This window comes from Homo sapiens, chromosome 10, assembly GCF_000001405.40.
Source record: "Homo sapiens chromosome 10, GRCh38.p14 Primary Assembly".
Lineage (NCBI taxonomy): Eukaryota > Metazoa > Chordata > Mammalia > Primates > Hominidae > Homo > Homo sapiens.
This window is the reverse complement of record NC_000010.11, coordinates 80,270,058-80,290,264: the sequence shown is the minus strand read 5'-3', so window position 1 is coordinate 80,290,264 and position 20,207 is coordinate 80,270,058. Positions and strand designations below refer to the sequence as shown.

At 50.2% G+C, this 20,207-nt stretch overlaps 1 protein-coding gene across 1 annotated transcript, besides 2 other annotated features; it reads left to right on the top strand.

Annotated features, from left to right (window-relative positions):
- Positions 478–772: an enhancer, noted in NCBI's record as "tiled region #13640; HepG2 Activating non-DNase unmatched - State 1:Tss, and K562 Activating DNase matched - State 20:ReprD". NCBI's record gives its function as "activates a minimal TATA promoter and a strong SV40 promoter by Sharpr-MPRA in HepG2 cells, with weaker activation in K562 cells {active_cell/tissue: HepG2 | K562}" and the evidence as "EXISTENCE:reporter gene assay evidence [ECO:0000049][PMID:27701403]".
- Positions 607–18,445, top strand: MAT1A (methionine adenosyltransferase 1A). The gene is made up of 9 exons (NM_000429.3): positions 607–932; positions 4,676–4,753; positions 6,227–6,349; positions 9,473–9,585; positions 9,949–10,092; positions 13,671–13,889; positions 15,066–15,248; positions 15,612–15,745; positions 16,382–18,445. Exons 1-9 carry the CDS (start codon positions 842–844, stop codon positions 16,482–16,484), a joined length of 1,188 nt encoding a protein of 395 aa, NP_000420.1. The 5' UTR covers positions 607–841; the 3' UTR covers positions 16,485–18,445.
- Positions 16,128–17,327: an enhancer, noted in NCBI's record as "CDK7 strongly-dependent group 2 enhancer chr10:82032694-82033893 (GRCh37/hg19 assembly coordinates)". NCBI's record gives its function as "activates an origin of replication core promoter dependent on BRD2, BRD4, P300/CBP, MED14 and CDK7 cofactors, with strong dependence on CDK7, by STARR-seq in HCT116 cells {active_cell/tissue: HCT116}" and the evidence as "EXISTENCE:reporter gene assay evidence [ECO:0000049][PMID:35650434]".

Genomic DNA, 20,207 nt, shown 5'->3' with positions numbered 1-20,207 from the left:
GATAGATACTTTTTAAAGATCTTGCTTGTTAAAATGCCTGCCAGCCTTTTAGAGAAGTTGACAGGTTAGGTGGTTTCTGTTAGCAGAAACACGTGGACTCAAAGCTTTTCCTCTAAAATGAATCTGTTGTGTAACATCACAGCTGGCTCAGAATACAGGTGCGTGCTCCTGCTCTCCCTGAGAAGATAGAATGGGAAGAGACCAATCCAGATGAGACGCAGGGGAGGAGGGGACACCCAACAGCAAAGGCACTGTTGCAATCTTAGCCTAAACCATATCTCTGAGAAAGAGTTTCTTGTTGCCTGCTTGTATCTCTGGGTGATCACAGACCCCTGCTCTCCAAGGTGGGTTGTGAACTCTGGAGCACTACCAAGATTGGCTAAGAGCTGAAGGAGAGTCCCAAAGGAGCTTCAATTCTGCAGAACTATACAGCCTTCTTTACCTTACCTTGACCAGGTGCTTAGAGTTTGGAAAGTCAGGGATAAGAATTGAAATTCCTCCAGGTAAGAAGACCCCCCTCTTAGGAAATGGACTCCTCCAATTTTCTCACATGATTTTTCAGGCACTTTCGCTTTTCCATATATAGGAGTCGCTCAGGAGCAAGCTGTGGCAAGCTGGAGGGAGGGACACATCCCGTGTTCCATCCACTCCCTCCCTTCTCAGCAGTCCTCGCCTGTTCTCACGTGCTCACAGGCAGTTAGGCAGAAGTGATCCCCGTGGCTCTGCCAAAGACAAGCCTGTTGGGTTGAAAGAAGAAGAAGAAGAAGAAAAAAAAACTCAGGCAAAGTCACAGCCTCAAAATTGTTCACTGAAAGAAGCGTGAGTGGAGAAGTGTGAGAAGATGAATGGACCGGTGGATGGCTTGTGTGACCACTCTCTAAGTGAAGGAGTCTTCATGTTCACATCGGAGTCTGTGGGAGAGGGACACCCGGGTAAGTAGGCTGTCTTGGACTGACTGGAAAACGATCATTCCAAGCCTATACTGAGGGAGTCACTTACAAATGGTTTTAATTTGACACATAATAATTGTGCATATTTATGGGGTACCGTGTGTTGTTTTGATCCATGAGTATAACATTTAATGATCAAATTAGGATAATGGGCATACCCATTGCCACAGACATTGACTACTTCTTTGTGGTGAAAACATTCAAAATTCCCTCTTCTAGCCCTTCAGTCACCCTACTGCGCAATGGAATGCCAGAGCTCATTCCTCCTATCTGACTGTAACTTCGTACCTGTAGGAGTCACTTTTACCAGAGCTCTTCAGAGCAATGTGTGTGAGTTACCAGAAGGGATCTCTAGAGAAACAGCATGGAGTAGTTTCATAAAACAGTCCCTCCTGATGAAGCCGTGCTGTGGCCCACCACCAGCACGCCAGCACAGTGGGTCCAAGACAGGGAGTAGCAGCTGGCTGGCTAAGAGTATGACACATGCAAAATATATGATCAGGTCTTAACTTTTTATATGTATTTTTTTTTTAGGAAAGCTTTAATCTATTATCCATGGCCAATTTAAGTCAACAGGGAATGTTCCTGAAACAAGACCATGGGTGACTAAATTTTGCATGTGAAGCATGTGCAACTTAGGCATGAAAGCCTGCACCCTGGTCACTGCTGGGGTAGACCTCTAGGTGCTGGGGACTCAGTAACGTTCTCTAAGAGCAGAATAGAAGACCTTCTAAACAGGAAGAAAATTTAGGCATTGATTTTGGTCCCTGAAAAGTAGGTAGACTGTGATGTGCGGAAGTGAGAGAAGCTTCCTTGATGACGGTGAGAACTAGGACCAGGACATTCAGAGCCTCAAGTGTAGGACAGTGGTTCTCAAACTTCAGGGAGCTTCAGAATCCCCCAGAGGGCTTGTCAAGACAACAGAGGGCTGGGCCCCACCCTCCAGAGTTTCTGATTCAGTAGGTCTTGGGAGAGGCTCGAGAATTTGCATTTTTGACAAGTTCCCAGGAGATGCTGATGCTCTGGGGTGAGAACCACTGCTCTTGGAGACCCCTGGGGGATAGATGTACAGACTTCTATAGTTAAGTCCCTCTTCAAAATTCATTCGAGTGTTTGCTAACTTATTGCCAAGTCTGCCTTTTTCCATCTTCCTTGCTCTTGTTCTTCCTCAAAGATATTTATCTTTCCTACCTTGTAACTTGGCTTTGGACACCTCAGTGCACTACTCCTTCCATATACTTTAGCCAGTGGTTTTTGACTGGTGGCAGTTTTGCCCCACAACCCCCAAGAGCATTTTGTACTGTCTGGAGACATTTGCAGTTATCACAACTATAGGAGGTGGGGGTAAGGTGCTACTGCCATGTATTGAGTAGAGGTCAGGCACACTGCTAAGCATCCTACAGTGCACAGGACAGCCTCTCAAGAATTATCTGGCCCAAAATGTTAATAGTGCAGCTGTTGAAAAACCTTGAATTGAATTGAGTTTTTTATGTGACTTAGCTCAGTTCAATGTAAATAGCCTCTTTCATTGTGCATAACTGTATAAAGTATCTAGGTTTACTGTATTTTCAATCTCAGATACATTGCTGATTTCTGACACATTCTGATCAGCTCCATGGCTATGAGCCTCATGTATAGGTTAGGAGAAAGATTCACTCCACCCGGAGGAAGTGGGTTTTTTGGCATGCAGCGGCTAGTGGTCCCAAGAATGGTCCATTGTGCGCAGCAGCAATGTGCTCAGAGGACTGAGAATGAACGTGCCAGCCAATCAATTGATTGTTTTGTATACTTAATGACAGCCAATCAATTTGTCTAATCGTCCCTTGTACTTGCCATTGTAATTGTCCAGGTAAGTCAGTTTCCATGGAGGCTAGGTGACTTTCTGCTTGTCATTCCATTGCTGAATTCCTCTCTGCTAGAAAGATAAAGGTTTTCTTCTCTGGTTTTCCAAAAAAACAACTATTGGCTATCTTAAGCCTACTAAGTGATATTGATAAAAATTTTGAAAGCCAAAACAAAAACAAAAACAATTCAGAAACAACCTCCTTGGGCATTGTCTTGTGTGTGGTGCTATCTGGAAGCCCCTGCTGGACTCCAGCTTTGTTCCTTCTCCTGTTGGATTTCCCTAGGCAGAGTGGGAGCCTGTGAGCTGTGTCTGCACAGGCAGAGACATTCACAATCAATGATCAGTCAGCAAGCTTCTAGGAACTCTGATGGGTAAGCCTAAGGTGGCCAGCATGTATTTATTTTAGGATATTTTATCAGCGAGAGGCCTTCAGTGGTAGAAGTGTGTAGAGGCTAAGGGCTCAGACAAACCTAAAGGTACTACCAGGGTCTGCCACTGGCAGGAGGCTAGATTAAACAAACAAACAAACAAACAAAACACAACCTCAAACATATGTTTAGCAGTAGTTTCTAAAGGAAAGATTAAGGAATTAATGAATATCTTTAATTACAGAATTTAACATCTGCTTTTGAGAGCCAAACTGCTTGATTCTGGATCTGGATTCTTAACAAAAACATATTACTCTATTAAGAGCAGACTGTGGGTATTTTTAACACTGAATGAGCTATAATATATGTAGATAGAGATCACTTTTATTTCTTAATTTGTAGATATTGACAGTTTGCATAACCCCAAAGCAAGAGTAGATTTTCCTACAAGCACCATTTAGTGCTTTACATTTTAGACCCTGCAGAGTCTTTAAGGCAAATAGTGGAAGAATAAAATCAAATTCCAGCTCATGTTGAACCCTTGTCAGTCCTACAGTAATTGAAGAGGTCAAGCCCAGCTCTAAGGACACCTGGCTTTCGGGAGGCTGAGTGACCATGTGGGAGATCTGAGAGCTGCTTATGGAAGTATTCTGCAAAACAACAATGATGTATAGGGGTTATCTTGTAGAATTCTTATGGGTGGAGTCATGTACTTGGGTGTGGTGTTTTATATACGGTGCATTGCATCTTGTGGAACCTGCCATGCAATGCAGCTGTTTGAGCCGTCTGATTTTACCTCTTGGCAAAGAGGTAAAATTGACTTCTTAACTATTTTTAAGTTCATTTTCAGGACTTTTGTAGATGTTAGAATTAAAGGGAACATGATGAGGAATGAGAGATTTTTTATTTAGAAGAATGCGTGTGTGTTTGTTTATGTGTGAGTTGCGTTAGACTCCTAGAAGAGCTGATTTTGACCGGGCGCAGTGGCTAACACCTGTAATCCCAGCACTTTCAGAGGCTGAGGTGGGCGGATCACTTGAGACCAGGAGTTCAAGACCAGCCTGGCCAACATGGTGAAACGCCATCTCTACTGAAAATACAAAACAAATTAGCCAGGCGTGGTAGCACAAGCCTGTAATCCTAGCTACCTGGGAGGCTGAGGTGGGAGGATTGCTTGAACCCGGGAGGTGGAGATTGCAGTGAACCGAGATCACACCACTGCACTCCAGCCTGGGTGATAGACTGACACTCCATCTCAAAAAAAAAAAAAAGGTATTTCTTTTTTAGGGCATTCTATGACTTTATATAATACGTGTCATCCAAAATTAGGCAGGAATGGAAATAAATAAAAATTTCAAAGTATTTCTAATTTCTTATACTTAAAAAAAGTGTTTTCCCTCTGGTAGATAAGTTGATATGTAAACTGAAAAGTCGATATCTAATTATTTTAAGATTTCAATTTGTTATCCCGAATATTTTTGTGATTCTGACCCATATTTGCTCTTGTCCAGATAAGATCTGTGACCAGATCAGTGATGCAGTGCTGGATGCCCATCTCAAGCAAGACCCCAATGCCAAGGTGGCCTGTGGTAAGAAACACCCGATCCCTCCCTGCTGGAGACCTAAGTGGGCTAGACTGAGAAATTAATCATGGGTATAAGACAAACGAGCCATACTCCTCAGTTCCAAAATCCATGTCCTCTGCTCTGCAGTAGATTTCTCAATTATGAGACCTCCCCTGTGTAGTAACAGGGAGGAAAAACATTTCTAACCATGAAACAAATAGATAATTATTTTTAGCAAGAATCTAACGTTAAATGTCATAGCAACCATAAATAGCAGAGGGTTGGACCAGCACATGGCCTTTCTGATGCTTGATCTCATTGGGAACAAGGAGGTCTTTCAAAGTTCTTAGGTGAATCTTCCAGACGGGATGCAAGAGCTTGAAACACAGGTAGCTGCCTAGATGGTTATAAGCTGCATCCTCATTGTAGGAGCCTTTGTTGGCTGCACAGATACCTGGCTTCTTCTCTTGTTTTCTTTCCTAGTTTGTGGTATGATTTAGGTTTTAAAATAATTAGTGTCCCCCATTTAATAGCAACAGGAAGGCAACATCTTCACCAATTGTTTTTCAATAAATCAATGGCTTTCCTAAGAGACATTAATGTTAAACTAAAGTACTGAAGCCCTGGCTCCCATCTGCATAATTTATTGTGTCTGAAGACTCATGTAGGCTGAAGATCTTCACCTTTATTTGTGGGATAAGTTGTTTGGCAGGAAAACCTTTGCCTGGCTTGAAGCCTGTGGCACAGTGGCAGAGTCATGGACTCTGGAGTCTGGAGGGGCCCCAGGGTGATCAGGTCCAGCCTGTTCATTTTAGAGACAGGATCACGGTACCCTCTGCATCAGGGCCTGGCCAAGGCCATGGGGTAGGGTGCCCCAGTGTGAAGACCAGAGCCTTGCTCTCCTTACTGTCATTGTCATGTCTTGTCCACTGCACAGACCCATCCTTCCCTCTCTGGTTGCATCCTCAGCCCTGTATTGAATACTACAGGGACTCATGCCCCTCTGAAGGTAGATTCTACCCTTATATCTTTGTAAATATCTGGAGAGAAGGTTGGCCTGCTTTGATTTTTTTTGGTCCAGATCCCACTCCCTAAAGCCTGCAGTGGAGGTTTAGCAATGTGGGGGATGGGGGGTCACATGTGTGGACTACCTTCTTTATGACAGCTACATACAACCATCATCTCCCTTTAATCCACATAGCAGTCTTATAAATAGCTTTATTAAATAGATGAGGGAACAGAGACTTAGAGGGGTTAAATAAGTTGTCCAGGATCACAGCTTATGACTGACTCTTTCCAAGACAGCATTGGAAGATGCTCAGTGCTTGGTGCTGGGATTTTTTCTTTTTATTGGCGTTTCTATTTTCCTTCTGGAATCCATTCCTCGTAAGGCCCCTCCTGTGTCTTTTCTGTCTGCACTGTGAGAGGTCTGGGAATGTGAGCTTCCCTTTGCTGGCACTTGGCTGCTAACTCTCCTCGCTCCCCGCTCCCTTTCAGAGACAGTGTGCAAGACCGGCATGGTGCTGCTGTGTGGTGAGATCACCTCAATGGCCATGGTGGACTACCAGCGGGTGGTGAGGGACACCATCAAGCACATCGGCTACGATGACTCAGCCAAGGGTGAGGGCAGGCCTCCGGGTCTGAAATCCCTGTTGCTCTCTGCTGATAGAGACCCCAGTGCTGAGTCAAACCCGTGCCTTTCAGCCCGATGGGAGCATCAATACTACCAGGAGGAAAACACTCCTACACTTGTCTGTCAGGTTCCAGGGGTCAAAGACTCTGGCATAAGGATGGCCAACAGGCGACTATGCCCAGTGGGCCCAGCACATGCCCATCTGTTGTTGATTGGGCTTGTTTTAGGCCTTGCCTTCTTGGCGCTGCCAAAGGCTTTGGAAGAGAAAGATGCACTGAATAAAGGGGGCTGCCCTCCTTTGGGGACATGCTCGCTGCCAGGCACTGGTGATAGTCTCTTGTGTTGTCTTAATCATTTATGTACTTATGCAGACGAGGAAATGGAGGCCTAGAGGGGTAAACAGTCTGTGTGAGATCACAGGGTAAGCAGCCACTAGGCTGAGGACTCCTGTGCTTCCACTAAACCTACTTGCAATCATAGACATGGAGCAAGATGACTCAGTCCAGAACTGGTGCTGACAGCAGGCGAGGCTGGTCCAGGTTAGCACCAGTGCTACATAGTGTGGGGCCACCACCCAGGGAAGGGGCACAGGCCCTAGCAGAACTTTGAAGCAGATTCCAACATCTGAGACTGAGCAGGCCAGGCAGCGGCACAGCCTGGAGGGCAGCAAAGGACCCAGAGAGCAGACACCAGGTGCGGAGGGCCTGTATGCGATCACATTCTGCAGGAGCTTCAGGGGCCCTTTGTCCATGCTGGCTTCCTGGGCAGGGCTCTGGCCCCAATTCTTAGAGTCTCCACGTTGGTCTCTGGCATTAGATGTTCAGGCAATTCTAATTTTTAAAGAAAAATTCATTTTGGGTCTCTGTTAGCTCTTTCCCTAATTCTCTGAAATCACTGTGAGAGATGTGATGACCTCACGCCATGGCAAAAAGACCCACTTCCAGGTCATCCTGCCTAGCTATACACCTGTAATCAAGATGCACAGAGAGAAGCATGACTTTAAAGGTGTTCATTTCTGCCTGTGTCACATAATCGTTGTCTAGGGTGATGTGTAGCATCCTGTGGGTCAGGGTGCTGGACCCCCGTTTGTAAGTGAGAGAGCCCACTCATGGTATGATGGTGCAGACTCGCAGAGGTTCAGTCCAGCCATGGCCTGGTGCAGCCCAAAGCACTCATGAGCAATTAATATTGGTTGAGTGCATGACAGTGATTTTGAGACTCAGTGGGAAGAGAAGCAGTAAGAACCAGTTAATTCTCCTGGTCGGGACATGAGGGTATTCACAGAGGAAACACATTGTCCCAGAGCTGCAGCTTCCTGAGGCGTTACCACACGGAGCCTGTTCTACCAAAAAAAAAGCCAATTTGTTTATGTACATTTAGACCTTATTCAAGTGCAAAACTTTTTCTGCATTAGGCAGGAGGGAAATTTTCCAGGAGGCAATGTTCCCTAGAAAGGGAGAAATGAGCGAGAGCCCAGCCGTGGCTGAGTTGAGCTCAGCTGGCTGAGGTTCCCTGTGCCCAAGCTTGTCCATTTACCTGTGCTCAGTGGACAGGAACAGCCTTAGCAGGGTCTCAGGCCAGTGGCTCCTCGTTGCTCCTGGCTGCGGTGTTGCTGGGCTCATTGTCCTTTCCAAGTCCTGTACCTCCCCTCTTGGTCCCCTAAGTTCTGTTTTTCCAAATTCCTTGGAGCCCTTGCTTGATTTTTGAGCCCTGGGGAGATTCATTATTTAGACAGACAGTGATTAGGTAAACTGAAATGTTCAGTGCAGAACAGGACAGCTTTTGGCAGTTCTTTAAAGACTGTTCATTGATTTGTGCATTCAAAAACATTCATTAGGAAACAGGAGGGTGTAAAGGGCAAAGGTGACCTGATACTCCCAGGGTATATGATGCAACATGAGGTGCCCTGGGGTAAGTTCCTGGCATTGTGTCTAATGAACTGCAGGCAGGTCCAGGGACATGCACTGAGAGTGGACGTGGGGTTTGGGCATGTGGGGTGGGAGCTGGAGGTAGAACGTTCTAGGCAGGGACCTAGTGGAGATGGAAAAGTATATCATGCTGATGGCTAAACTTGAGTTCATGTTGGCTCAAGGAGTCCCAGGAGCAAGGGCTGTGTCAGACTGAAAAGCTTCAGTTTTATTCCTTGGCAGTAGATCCCCACCTGAAGCTTGTACAGAAACAGCAGCTTGGATCTGTGTGTTTTCTCTGTAAGCCCTTTCAGGCTGTGTGGGTAGGAGAATAGATGGGAAGGAAGATGGCTGTGGGGGTTTGGAGAGTGAGTGTGTCACTATGCTTGACCTTGTGGTGGGGGCGTCCATGTATTCAGTCCCTTATTCTCACAGTCCCTGTGACTGAGCCCAGCACAGCTGTGAGGAGGTGCGCACGGTCTCGGTGCATAGCAGTTTCCTCATGGGACTCCCAGGGCTGAGCTACTGCTAGTCCAGACTTCCCCAAACCAGTGCCTCGCGTGCTAGGTGTAGCAGGCCTGCACCCTGTGCCTCAGCTTTGTAGATGGGAAAGGGCAGGTGGCTTTTCCATTTGCCCCAGACTCTGTGTACCTCTCAGGGTCAGAGGACCCTGGCTTGGGGAGTCTGTCTGGATAGTTCATGTACACTGTATTTGTTCAGTATGTTTAATAGTTGTGTCAGGCATACAGCTGGGCTTCTGAGTGACAGTATCAAAAGGGCTCTTGATTTTCTCCTAGTGCAGTGATGCTCAAACTAGATTCTGGGAGGCACCTGTGGGAGAGCCTGAGGGGCAGGGTATGAGTCAGCCACCGTCCTCAGCCAGAGGAGCCTTGGCATCACCTTGTTTTAATCTGCAGGTCTCTGTAGGATGTGTGTGTGTGTGTTAACCAAGGTCTAATTGAGCACAGTAAAATGCACCACGGAGAATTTTGGTTGGCCAAAGAGTTCTACATGATAGGGTGGGAAGGTGCGGGGCCTCTCCCATCCTGGGCCTCAGCTGTGGGCCTAGACAGACCCTGGCTAGTTAGGGAACCCCCACGCTGACACCAAATGGCATGTCAGGAACCGAGCCATCCATTGGGAAGTTTGTGGCCCCCTCCTTCTGACCTGTTCCCCACTTAGGCTCACTTTGCTTCCGCCTAGGCTTTGACTTCAAGACTTGCAACGTGCTGGTGGCTTTGGAGCAGCAATCCCCAGATATTGCCCAGTGCGTCCATCTGGACAGAAATGAGGAGGATGTGGGGGCAGGAGATCAGGTAGCTCGGCACTGCATGTGGGAGCTGTGTGTTGAGCTGGCTGGGAAAGTTCATGAGCAGTGGGTTAATCACACTGAGGGGTGGATTCTTGTCCTAGCACGATAGCCAGGAGCGAGTTGGGAACCCCAGCTTCACGGCCGTGCTGTGGATGGCTGTGGTTGCTGACACTGGGTTTGGGCTTGTCTCCCCCTCCTAGAGTGTTGGGGGTCAGGGATGACGTCCTTCCCCTGCACATGCCAGTGGAAAGCTCCATGGAGGAGGCACCCAATCAACGTGGACACACCAGGGAGATTTCAGGCTTGGAGAGAGCTGCGGTCCTCTTGGTCTAGGGTGGGCGCCGCTCAGCCTGCTCTCTCGCCACAGGGTTTGATGTTCGGCTATGCTACCGACGAGACAGAGGAGTGCATGCCCCTCACCATCATCCTTGCTCACAAGCTCAACGCCCGGATGGCAGACCTCAGGCGCTCCGGCCTCCTCCCCTGGCTGCGGCCTGACTCTAAGACTCAGGTGAGCAGCTGAATTACCCCAGGAGAGCCCTAGACAGAAGCTTTAATACCCCCAAATCCTCTTGATTCTTGATTGTGTCATTTTTAAGATCGAAATATTCAATCTGGGCATTCAAAGAATGGTCAGTTTTGAAAAGAACTATTTATGTGAAAAATCTTCAGCTAGAGATGCTTCCCACAACATTTTATTATAAAAAATTTCAAAAATACAGAGAAATGAAAAGAATAGTTCCGTTTTTTTTGTTTGCTCATTAGTAAACATTGACTAATGAGTCCCCAAATCCTGCCACAAACATACTTAACTGGCTTCCATATTTTCAGGCCTCTTTGTCCTGAACAGGCTGTCTGTGCTGTGTCTGTGCTGTGTCTGTGTTGTCTGTCTGTGCTGTGTCTGCGCTGTCTGTGCTGTGTCTGTGCTGTCTGTCTGTGCTGTCTGTCTCATCATGACCCTTTTTCTCATCTTTGTTTCTCATGAAAAGGCTTTACGTCTGTTGTTTCCAGCTCCAAACCCATGGGCCCTGACCTGTCTTCTCCCTGCAGTGTTGAAATCAACCCAAGGCCTATATTTGAAGGCTGAGGTGATTCAAGTGTTAGTGGAGACGCAGGCCTCCTGGCACCTCACCCCTGTATCCCCTCCCTGCTTAACCCCAATGAGCCCTCTCATGATTCCCAAGTTCCCAGCACTTCATACTGCACAACTTCTCTCCCTGTGTCCATGCTCGTGGACCCCATTGTCACCTTCACATACTCCCACCTGTGGGTTTCTCTGATCACCCTCCAAGCAGATGGGCCCTGAGAGCCTGCCGTGTGCAGCACCCTGCCACCTCCCTCCTGCCCTTCCCCCGTCCTGTTCAGCGCCATCTCTCTCCACCTACCCATGTCCCCAGTTTACCCCATCAAGCACCCCTCTCGCTCCAGCTCAGCCTTCCCCAGGGCTGCCATCATCCCAGCCAGGCCAGGATCAGTGGCCTATCCTTCCAAAGGTACTCCCTGCTTGGAAATTCCAGCTAATCCCCTTTAGGCCTCATTTTTAATTCCCTAACATCTATTCAGTGTTTTCTACAACTTTGGGCTTCCTACAAGGGGAAGGGGGAAATCCACTTATTATTCTGGCATTCACAACCTTTTATGGTCTTCCAACTTTACCTGCCTCTGCCTGCCCCACACCATCTTTGCTTAATCGACATCATTTCACTCATTGTCCCCTTGTTTCTTAGGGCTTTGCTTTACCTGAGCTCCCTCTCTGGTCTTCACCTCTCCTTCAGTGGCCAGCAAAGTTCTACCTCTTTTGGGATGCCATCCCTGGCCACTAGCAGACAGCGCCAGCGCCTTCTCTTGTCCTGCACTTGGAATCTGGCACCCATGGTGTTATAGCTCAGCGTGCTGTGTGTGGCTCCATGTACAACTCCAGTTGTACAGAGATGGAGTTCCTTCTTGTGCAAGTGTCAGACCATGCACAGGGCAGAGGTTGCATACTGGCTGTACTGGGGCAGGGAAGTGTGCTTATGCCCAAAGGGAACCCTTCCTTGGGACTTCCTGTGTTATCCACATGACCCCCCAAGGTGGGGATGGGAACCATCAGCATTCCTTGGGTGTTCTTGGAGGTTGTGAGTTAGGAGAGCTAAAACATGTAGATCGTGATGGCACCCAAAGAAAGGGGCCCATGATGTCGGCCTGCCTGTCCTGTCCTGGACTGGAATGGTGCTGCGATATAGAAGCAGGGTGAAGATTCACAGAAGGGGAAATCTTAGAACAGGGAGGGGAGGTAGCCAGTGGCTCTGACTGTTTTTTCTCTTCCTTGTGCAAGAGAGAGGAACAGAGGGACCACCTACTGGACCTGCTGAAACAGGTTCATTGTGCTTAGATATGAAATAGAAGGTTTCTAGGTTTAGGGGTCAGCAAGGAAGGGAGGGTGGGATGGGCTCTTTTAGGGGTTCCCTTCCTTTGAAGGATTGTCTCGAAAATGCCAATACAGATACCAGAGTCAGCCTCACTTCCCTGCCACAGGCAGGACCGCGGGCCAGCTCCAGTCTCAGGGGGTGCAGACTTGCTGTGGGGCTCCAGGAGGCCCCTCGCCAGCTGGCCTGCGAACAGCCTGGCTTGCTCTAGACACTCCCTCCATGAGAGAGGCCCTGGGCCAGGCACAGCTTGTCTAGGTCCCCTGCTCCGCACCCTGTTTTTGAAGTAGTGTCTTCATCCAGCTGGACTGCTGGCTGTGAGCAGGATGGGTCTTTCCACCTGAACAAATCCCTGCTGCTGATAGTGAGGCCTGGGTGGCAGTGTGGATGGCTATTTTTGTACCTAGTCAGAGCTGTGTTTTCCATGGTGTGTTTTTCCCCACATCTTGCTGACATGATGAGATAAGCGCCGTGTTCAGGGCCCTTTGCTCTGCTGCCCTATTCTGCAGTTCTGCAAGGCCACTGCGTGGAGTCTGCCGGGTGGGGGTGGAGTCACCCAGGGGAGCAGTGGAGACGGCCTGAGCACCCTCCCCAGCTGTGCACCTTCTCCCGAGGCTCCATGCAGACTAGACCCAGTCCTAGAGTCTGCCACAGACAGTGCCTCTTTTCCTGGGAGTCCCCTACCCCAGATTCCAGCCCCTTTCCCAGGGCCGTGTGTGTGCACAGCCTGGCATTTGAGGACTTCTCTCAGCTCACGATGTCTGTGTGCATCGGGCCATCTCATGCAGATCTTACATGGCCAGGACTCTTTCTCCTACTTCTTCTGGACCTTCCTTGTTGCTCCTTAGACCAGGCAGAACACAGAGTAGGAGTTTGATACAGATCCAGGGTTTGATGGATACCTGAGTAGCCTTGGGGAGGTAGAGAGTTTGCTGCAGGCACAGTCCCAGGGAGCCACTGTTTGCTGCCCCGTGGTTCTGTCCAGGCCCTGGGATGGGAGCAGTCCCATACTCACTGGCCAGTGTCCCTCCCAGGGCCATCTGGCAGAGCTGCACCCCTGCGGGCACCACATGTCCCTAAAATCCTCTGAGCCCTGCTCTTGTGGGTCCATGCTGCTTTCGGCAGTATTGGGCCTGTGGCCAGCACAGGGTCTTGAGTGGCATCCAACCTTCTTCTTGGAAGAGCCCTGTCTACCAGCCCATGCAGCTCCAGGTCAGATCCCAGCTCTTCCGACTGTGTGATCTTGACCAAGACATTTACATTTTGGATCCTTGGCTTTCTTATCTGCATCATTGGCAGGAGGAGAGATACCTCCTGGGCTATAGAGGGTCAAGAAAGGGCTTTGGCCAGGGGGACATTTGCTGGCACCTGGAAGCCTCTGAGACAGAAGAGGAGACATGTAGTGGGTCAGAAGTTGAGAGGAAACTCAAGTCTCCAAGCAGTGCTAATTGTGGCCCCATGTGGGAATAGCTGGGCCTTACACCCAGTCCTCCCACAGCACCAGGCAATTTTTTGAACGTAAGAATGTGTCAGATTAACTCCCCCAACACCCTTTGAAGACAGGAGGCCCCACTTGGCTCCTGGGAGCCCTGCCCACCTCCTGGGTGCCTGTGTCTGGCCACGATGTGCCGTTCGCTCAGCCTCAGCCTCACAGTATCTCCCCCACCCTTCTGATGGACAGGTGACAGTTCAGTACATGCAGGACAATGGCGCAGTCATCCCTGTGCGCATCCACACCATCGTCATCTCTGTGCAGCACAACGAAGACATCACGCTGGAGGAGATGCGCAGGGCCCTGAAGGAGCAAGTCATCAGGGCCGTGGTGCCGGCCAAGTACCTGGACGAAGACACCGTCTACCACCTGCAGCCCAGTGGGCGGTTTGTCATCGGAGGTCCCCAGGTGCATTCTTGTCTCTGAACGAAGCCCTGGTTTGTCTTTGTTACTGGGGTTGCTTATGTCTCAGAGCAGGAAAACCTCAAGAGATAGCTTGGAGGGGGTCAGCTGACTCTGGCCATGGACTAAATGTAAAGTCGGTGAATTTTGGCCTCTGTACATTTAGTGCACTCTCTGGGGAGGTCTGCTATGTGTCTGACAGTGTGCAAGAAATGGGGGATATGTCCCTAGGATTCCTCCACTTAGCGCCACTGGGCCCTCCCACTCCTGCCATCTCAAGTGACCATCGACCTTACCCACGGCTGCTGCACCTCACCCTGCTCTGGTGCACATTCCCCACTGCAGCATTTGCACGTGGACAGCTGTTCCCGGGTGGCTGTTTCCAGATCTTCACCACAGGCTGCCTCTGGCTGTTGTGGGCACCAGAGTGGGACAGGGTGTTTTAGACAGGGCACCACTGCCCCCTCTCTTGTACTGCAAGTGTGAGGAGGTGGAGGTTGAGGGCACTGCTGTGAGGCTGCTGCCCACTGCCTGGGCCCTCAGCCGTGTGTGCTTTGCCAGAGTTGAGCTCCATCCCGGGTTCCAGTAGCAAGTAGAGTGTAGAAACACAGAGTAGAAGGAGGTAACACTTATTGTTTTTTCTTGCAGGACTTCTCAAAGCCTAGACATACTAGTATGAACTGTGGATCTCTAAAAGGGGGAGTAGAGCAGGCAGACTTCCCCAAATCATTTAACATAGAACTCCCACCCTTTTAAAGACATCACTATTGACTGGTGTTGCCCAGAGGACACTTGGGAAGTGGGCAGCATGGCATTTGCTAGGTGGCACCAGCCAGGGTTGTATTTATGACAGTGCAGTTCCTGCCTGCAGTTGGATCTCTCCATTGTGATGGACTCAGTAACAAAGGCATTAGGGAGTGGCTGTGACCCCAGAGAACCCCTGGCCCACCTTCTGCACTTGCTAATGAAGCTTTGGCAGGTTACCTGTTTTCAATATGTTGTCAGTGACTGAGCTGGGAGTGGAGTCCAGAGTTCTGGGCTAAGGGGTCTTAGGAAAATGTCTGTGGGCAGCCCCAGGACATCCTTCCTGAGTTGCAGTTCAGCTGCCATCACAGTACTTCAGCCCCCTCCAGCATCTAGGGGCTGGCTCTGCTTCTTATCTTGATTTCTCTCCCTCTGCAGGGGGATGCGGGTGTCACTGGCCGTAAGATTATTGTGGACACCTATGGCGGCTGGGGGGCTCATGGTGGTGGGGCCTTCTCTGGGAAGGACTACACCAAGGTAGACCGCTCAGCTGCATATGCTGCCCGCTGGGTGGCCAAGTCTCTGGTGAAAGCAGGGCTCTGCCGGAGAGTGCTTGTCCAGGTAAGCCCCCTCCACCCACCACCGTCCTGTTGCAGTGGAGGACCCCTGCCCAGTTCTGCCCTGAGTGAGGGGATGTTGGCCCGGTGGGAAAGCTGCATGCTTTGCCAAAGGTTGTGATTGTGTGATTGTGTTGGGCACTGTGGCCAGGGCTCTGAAAACCTAGGGGAGGGAAAACCAGAATCTTCAGGGAGAGAGGCGTGTAGAAGAACTGCCCTCGGTGAAGATAGCAGGAAAATTGCAGGGGAGCATGTGGGGCAAGAGGCATGTGGTCCCCGCTGGTCCCTTCAGAAGAAGGGCAAAGCTTCTGAAAGGGGCAGGGCCCACACAGAGGCTTCAATCCCTGACGCTGCACCTTGCTGGAAGGTTTCCTATGCCATTGGTGTGGCCGAGCCGCTGTCCATTTCCATCTTCACCTACGGAACCTCTCAGAAGACAGAGCGAGAGCTGCTGGATGTGGTGCATAAGAACTTCGACCTCCGGCCGGGCGTCATTGTCAGGTAAAGTGCCATGCGCTGCTATTACACAGGACCTTGCTCCTTCCTTGCCCAGATGCTCACCTCACCTGAAAGGGAGGCAGAAAGGAGGATGTTTCTGCCTCTCAGAAGTGGGAGGGTCTGTGAGCTCTTGGTACAGCACAGTGCATCCCCAGTGCAGAAAGCCTGGTTGTCAGGTTAAAGGAGGCTGCCCCAGGTTCCTGCTGGCCCAGTCAACACCAACTCCAGTGGGGCCATCTCTGAGCAACTGGGAGGCAGGCGGGGATCTTAGGAAAATAATTATTAATATAAGGCCAAATAGCTCAAATGGCTGGGAATCAAGTCAGCAAGTCTATTCCGTTTCTAGAGCTTAGTGGTGTCAACATTGGCCTGGGCCAGGTAAGTGGAGTGGGAGGAGAAAAGCACCGGAAGGCTGGAGTTAGATCCTGGTCCCTGAACCTCTAAGCATCCGTGGGGCTATAAAACGAGACCAGGGTATGGCACAGATAGGATGGGTGCGCGCAACTGCGGTGGGGAGGCGTAGTGCCATGCGAGGAGGGCTGTGTTACAGTTCGTTGCTCCCTCCTGTCCTTGAAATGGAGAAAGAAACCCTGCTCCTGTTCCATCTTCCAATGCCCTTCCTTTCTGCTGGACATGCAGGGATTTGGACTTGAAGAAGCCCATCTACCAGAAGACAGCATGCTACGGCCATTTCGGAAGAAGCGAGTTCCCATGGGAGGTTCCCAGGAAGCTTGTATTTTAGAGCCAGGGGGAGCTGGGCCTGGTCTCACCCTGGAGGCACCTGGTGGCCATGCTCCTCTTCCCCAGACGCCTGGCTGCTGATCGCCTTCCCCACCCACCAACCCTCAGGGCAAAGCCAGGTCCCTCTCATTTAGCCTGTCCTGTCATCATCATGGCCAGCTGGAGGCAGGGGCTTCCTGGTGCTGGAGGTTGGATCTTGATGTAAGGATGGGCATGGTGTTCTCCTGCTGCTCCCTCAGACTGGGGCAATGTTAATTTAGTGGAAAAGGCACCCCCGTCAAGAGTGAATTCCCTCACTCGTCTCCCCCAACAGCTGGACCCTGACCAGCTCCCCCTCCCTCCCCTTGCCTGTGCCAGGTGAGGTCAGCACATCTCAACAGGCCTCAGGGCTCCTTGTGGGCCTGGGCTCCTGGACCCCCCTTTCACAGGCAGCCAGTGCCCTGAGCCAGGGTCTCCAGAAAGCCCCACCCAGGCCAGGCATGTGGCAGGGGTTAGAGCAGGACTGATGTCTCCTAAGCACCTGTAATGTGCGAGGGACCCAGCTAATAACTGATCTCGTTTTTTCTTCACTGCAACATGATGAGGTAGTACCTTTTATATCCCATTTATAGATGGGGGAAAGCAAAGCACAGAGAGTCTGGATAACTTCCACAGGGTCCCACAGCCACGTGTTTAGACCTAGATGTATAACTAGGAGCTTTGACTCAGGAGCCTGTGACATACCCCCTCCCCCACCGTTGTCTCATGCCAGTAACAGGCTCAAACAATGACAAAGCAGATTCAGAAATGAGGCCATGGACTCTGTCCTGAAGGCCTGAGGTTACTGGAAATTAGGGGATTAACCCACTAGCTCTTGTTGAGCCGTGGGCAATTGTCTGAAAAGTGAAGACAGAACCACAGGGCTATTTTGTTTGCTTCATGTGTCCCAGAAGATGACTGAGGGTGAGTTGGCTTACCTGGCCCATCAGGGTAGGCTGGAGTTAGGGACTGACCAGCAGCTTTAGAATCCCAGCCCCCTGACCACTCAGAGACATGCAGAGATTGGGTTTTTGGACTTCTGGGGTAAGTGGTCTAAGTCCAGTCCAGTCCTATCTGGGCTTCCTGGAGCAGAAGCAGCAACTTGTCCTAGCACAGATGGCCAGCCCCTTAGACAGAGGCCCTCAAGTCTTTCTCTTTCCCTGGTCCCTTGTATCCCCTGCAGGCTGAGTGCATTTGGAGGGAGTGAGTGGCCCTTTCGGATCCAGGGAGGCTGGTCCTATGGCCTCATGTTAAATAGGCGGGGCTTGCCTTCTGGTGTTGGACAAGCTTCTGAGACGTCATGAGGAGATTCTGCCTTTGCCAGGTGACTGTCTGGGGAGCGGGTCTGCTCCCAAGGGGCCTGAGCAGTCCTTGGCCTGCTAAGGTCTTGGAACTTGCCTGCCTTTCCATCCATGGCCAGCAGCACCTGCCCTACCTGCCCCACTTGTCCTTAGCCTGGACCTCTGACAGCAGCATCTCTACCTTCTCCCCAGCTCCCAGGACCACAGGCTCAGGCAGGGGCCTCCATGGGCCCCAGGGGAACACTGGGGACTTGGCCTCTCTCTAGGGTACATGGTGCTGGGAGAGGCAGCCCAGGAAGTCTCATCTGGGGAGCAGGCAGCCAGCATCTGGGCCTTGGCCTGGAGCACAAAGACCCTGGCTTTCATTTTCTCTCAGGTGAAAGGAAATTAAGGCAACAAAAGAAGCCCGGCTCCTGGTCACCTAGGAAGCCTCAGATTCCTTCCCATGGAGGGAGGGAGTGGTTTGCAGGTGGCCAAGTTCCTCTAACTTGGCTCACACTCGACATGAAAATTCAGAATTTTATACTTTCCCTACCCTCTAGAGAAATAAGATCTTTTTTGTCAGTTTGTTTGTATGAAACTAAAGCCTTTATTTGTTAATAGTTCCTGCTAAAACAATGAATAAAAACTCAAGGAGCAACTACCCTATGCTTAGTTATTCTCTGCAAAACCCCAGAGACATGACACCTGCTCTGTATAGCATTCCCTGGTTGCCCACCCCCACCACCGGGGGAAGTTAGTATCCTCCCCTCGGGGTCACCCCATCCTGTCCACGTGGAGCAGATGTCTCATGGACTAGGTTTTTCTTGTTACTAGCAGCTATGTTAAGCCACACCACTGCCATGTTCATTCCTCACCACATCTCACCAAGGTGGATATTCTTAGGAAGCCCATTTTTACATGCGGGGCCCTGAGGCCCCAAAAAGGGTTAGGACCAAAGGCAGTGGCCACCTCTGGCTCCTCCCTGAGTTCTGTGTGCTCTCCTTACGCATTGCTGCCCTTAGGCTGCCTATGCCTTATCTTGTGCCCTTCCTGCATGGTGTCTGCATGAGACTGGCATGAGGGCATGCTCAGGCCATGTCTGGAGTATGGATAAGTGACTGAATTTGAACAAAGTGAAGGAGTGGAGGGGATTGGTCTGTGGAGAGAGGAGCCGAACTTTTAAGTGGATGCACATTTCCCTTCACTCGTGTTCAGTTGTGAAGAGAATAAGCAAATGGTTCTTTTTCATTGAAGGTCATCCCTGCCATGGCCCCCGGTGATGTGGTTCTTGGGGTTTGATCAGAGCAGGAGGAAGATGGGTCCTGCATGGTTTCCGGCAAGCAGGCTGTGTGGACAGGACTCAGCTCTGGGGAATGTCCTGGTGCAGCCTGAGGCAAAGCCTGTGTGGCCCCCGTGTCTCACGGGCAGACAAAGCTGATCTGGGGTGCCAGGAAGACCCAGAATGTGGCGGGGAGGGGAGGGGAGGATGAGGCCAAAGGGCCTCACAGTCCTGTTTGAGACAGAACCTATACCCTGAGAAGACACTAGGTGGGCAATACAATGAAACATGACACATTACAGAGAAAAGCACGTTTCTCAAGAATGCATACAAATAGACACACTTAAGAAACACACTGGAATACTTGCCTGGGGTAGGGGGAGGACTCTAGGTATAACATGCAAAATAATTAGTGAAAGCAAGATAGAGAACCACCTTCTGAGCCACAAAGCCAAGTGTCACAGTGTTAGGGAAATGTGGACGGAGCAAAGGAGGTTGGCAGGGAGCGGCCAGTGGAGTTTGAGGAAACTCAGGAGCACAGAGTCCCTGGAAGTCAGGTGAAGACTGTTTCTAGAGCAGGGGAGCCACCAACTATGCAAAATGGTTTTGATGGGTTACATGATGGGAGGCCCAGGACTGTCCAGTGAATTCAGCCACATGGAGGTTGATGATGTGGGAAATGGCAGAGTCACATTTAAACGTAAATATGACCCCAACCCTCACCTCAATCATCCTCCCCTGGGCCATCTCATGACATTCAGAGTGCGTGCTGGGCTGCACTGCCCTGCATGTCTGTGCAGTGCCTGCCCCCTACCCTCATCCTGGACTCTGCTCCCCACTCCCCACATTCCGGACTCCTTGGCTCTTTGGCTTCCCCCAGCAGGCCAAGCTCGTTCCTGCTCAGGGTCTTTGCACCTGTCGTTCTGTCATGGGTGTGGGGTGCGCTGCAGGTTTCAGATGAAATTTCTGTATTTCCAAAAAACCCCTTCCTTGATAGCCTCTCTTTCTACTCCATTCCATTTCTAGTTTCTTTTTCAGTGTTTAACATGATGTTCCTTGGAGCCTTTCACTTGAATCCTTCCCTACCCATTCACTCTCCCTTCCTTCTTCACATGCGGGTCCTCCAAATCCCTGCAGTCTCAGC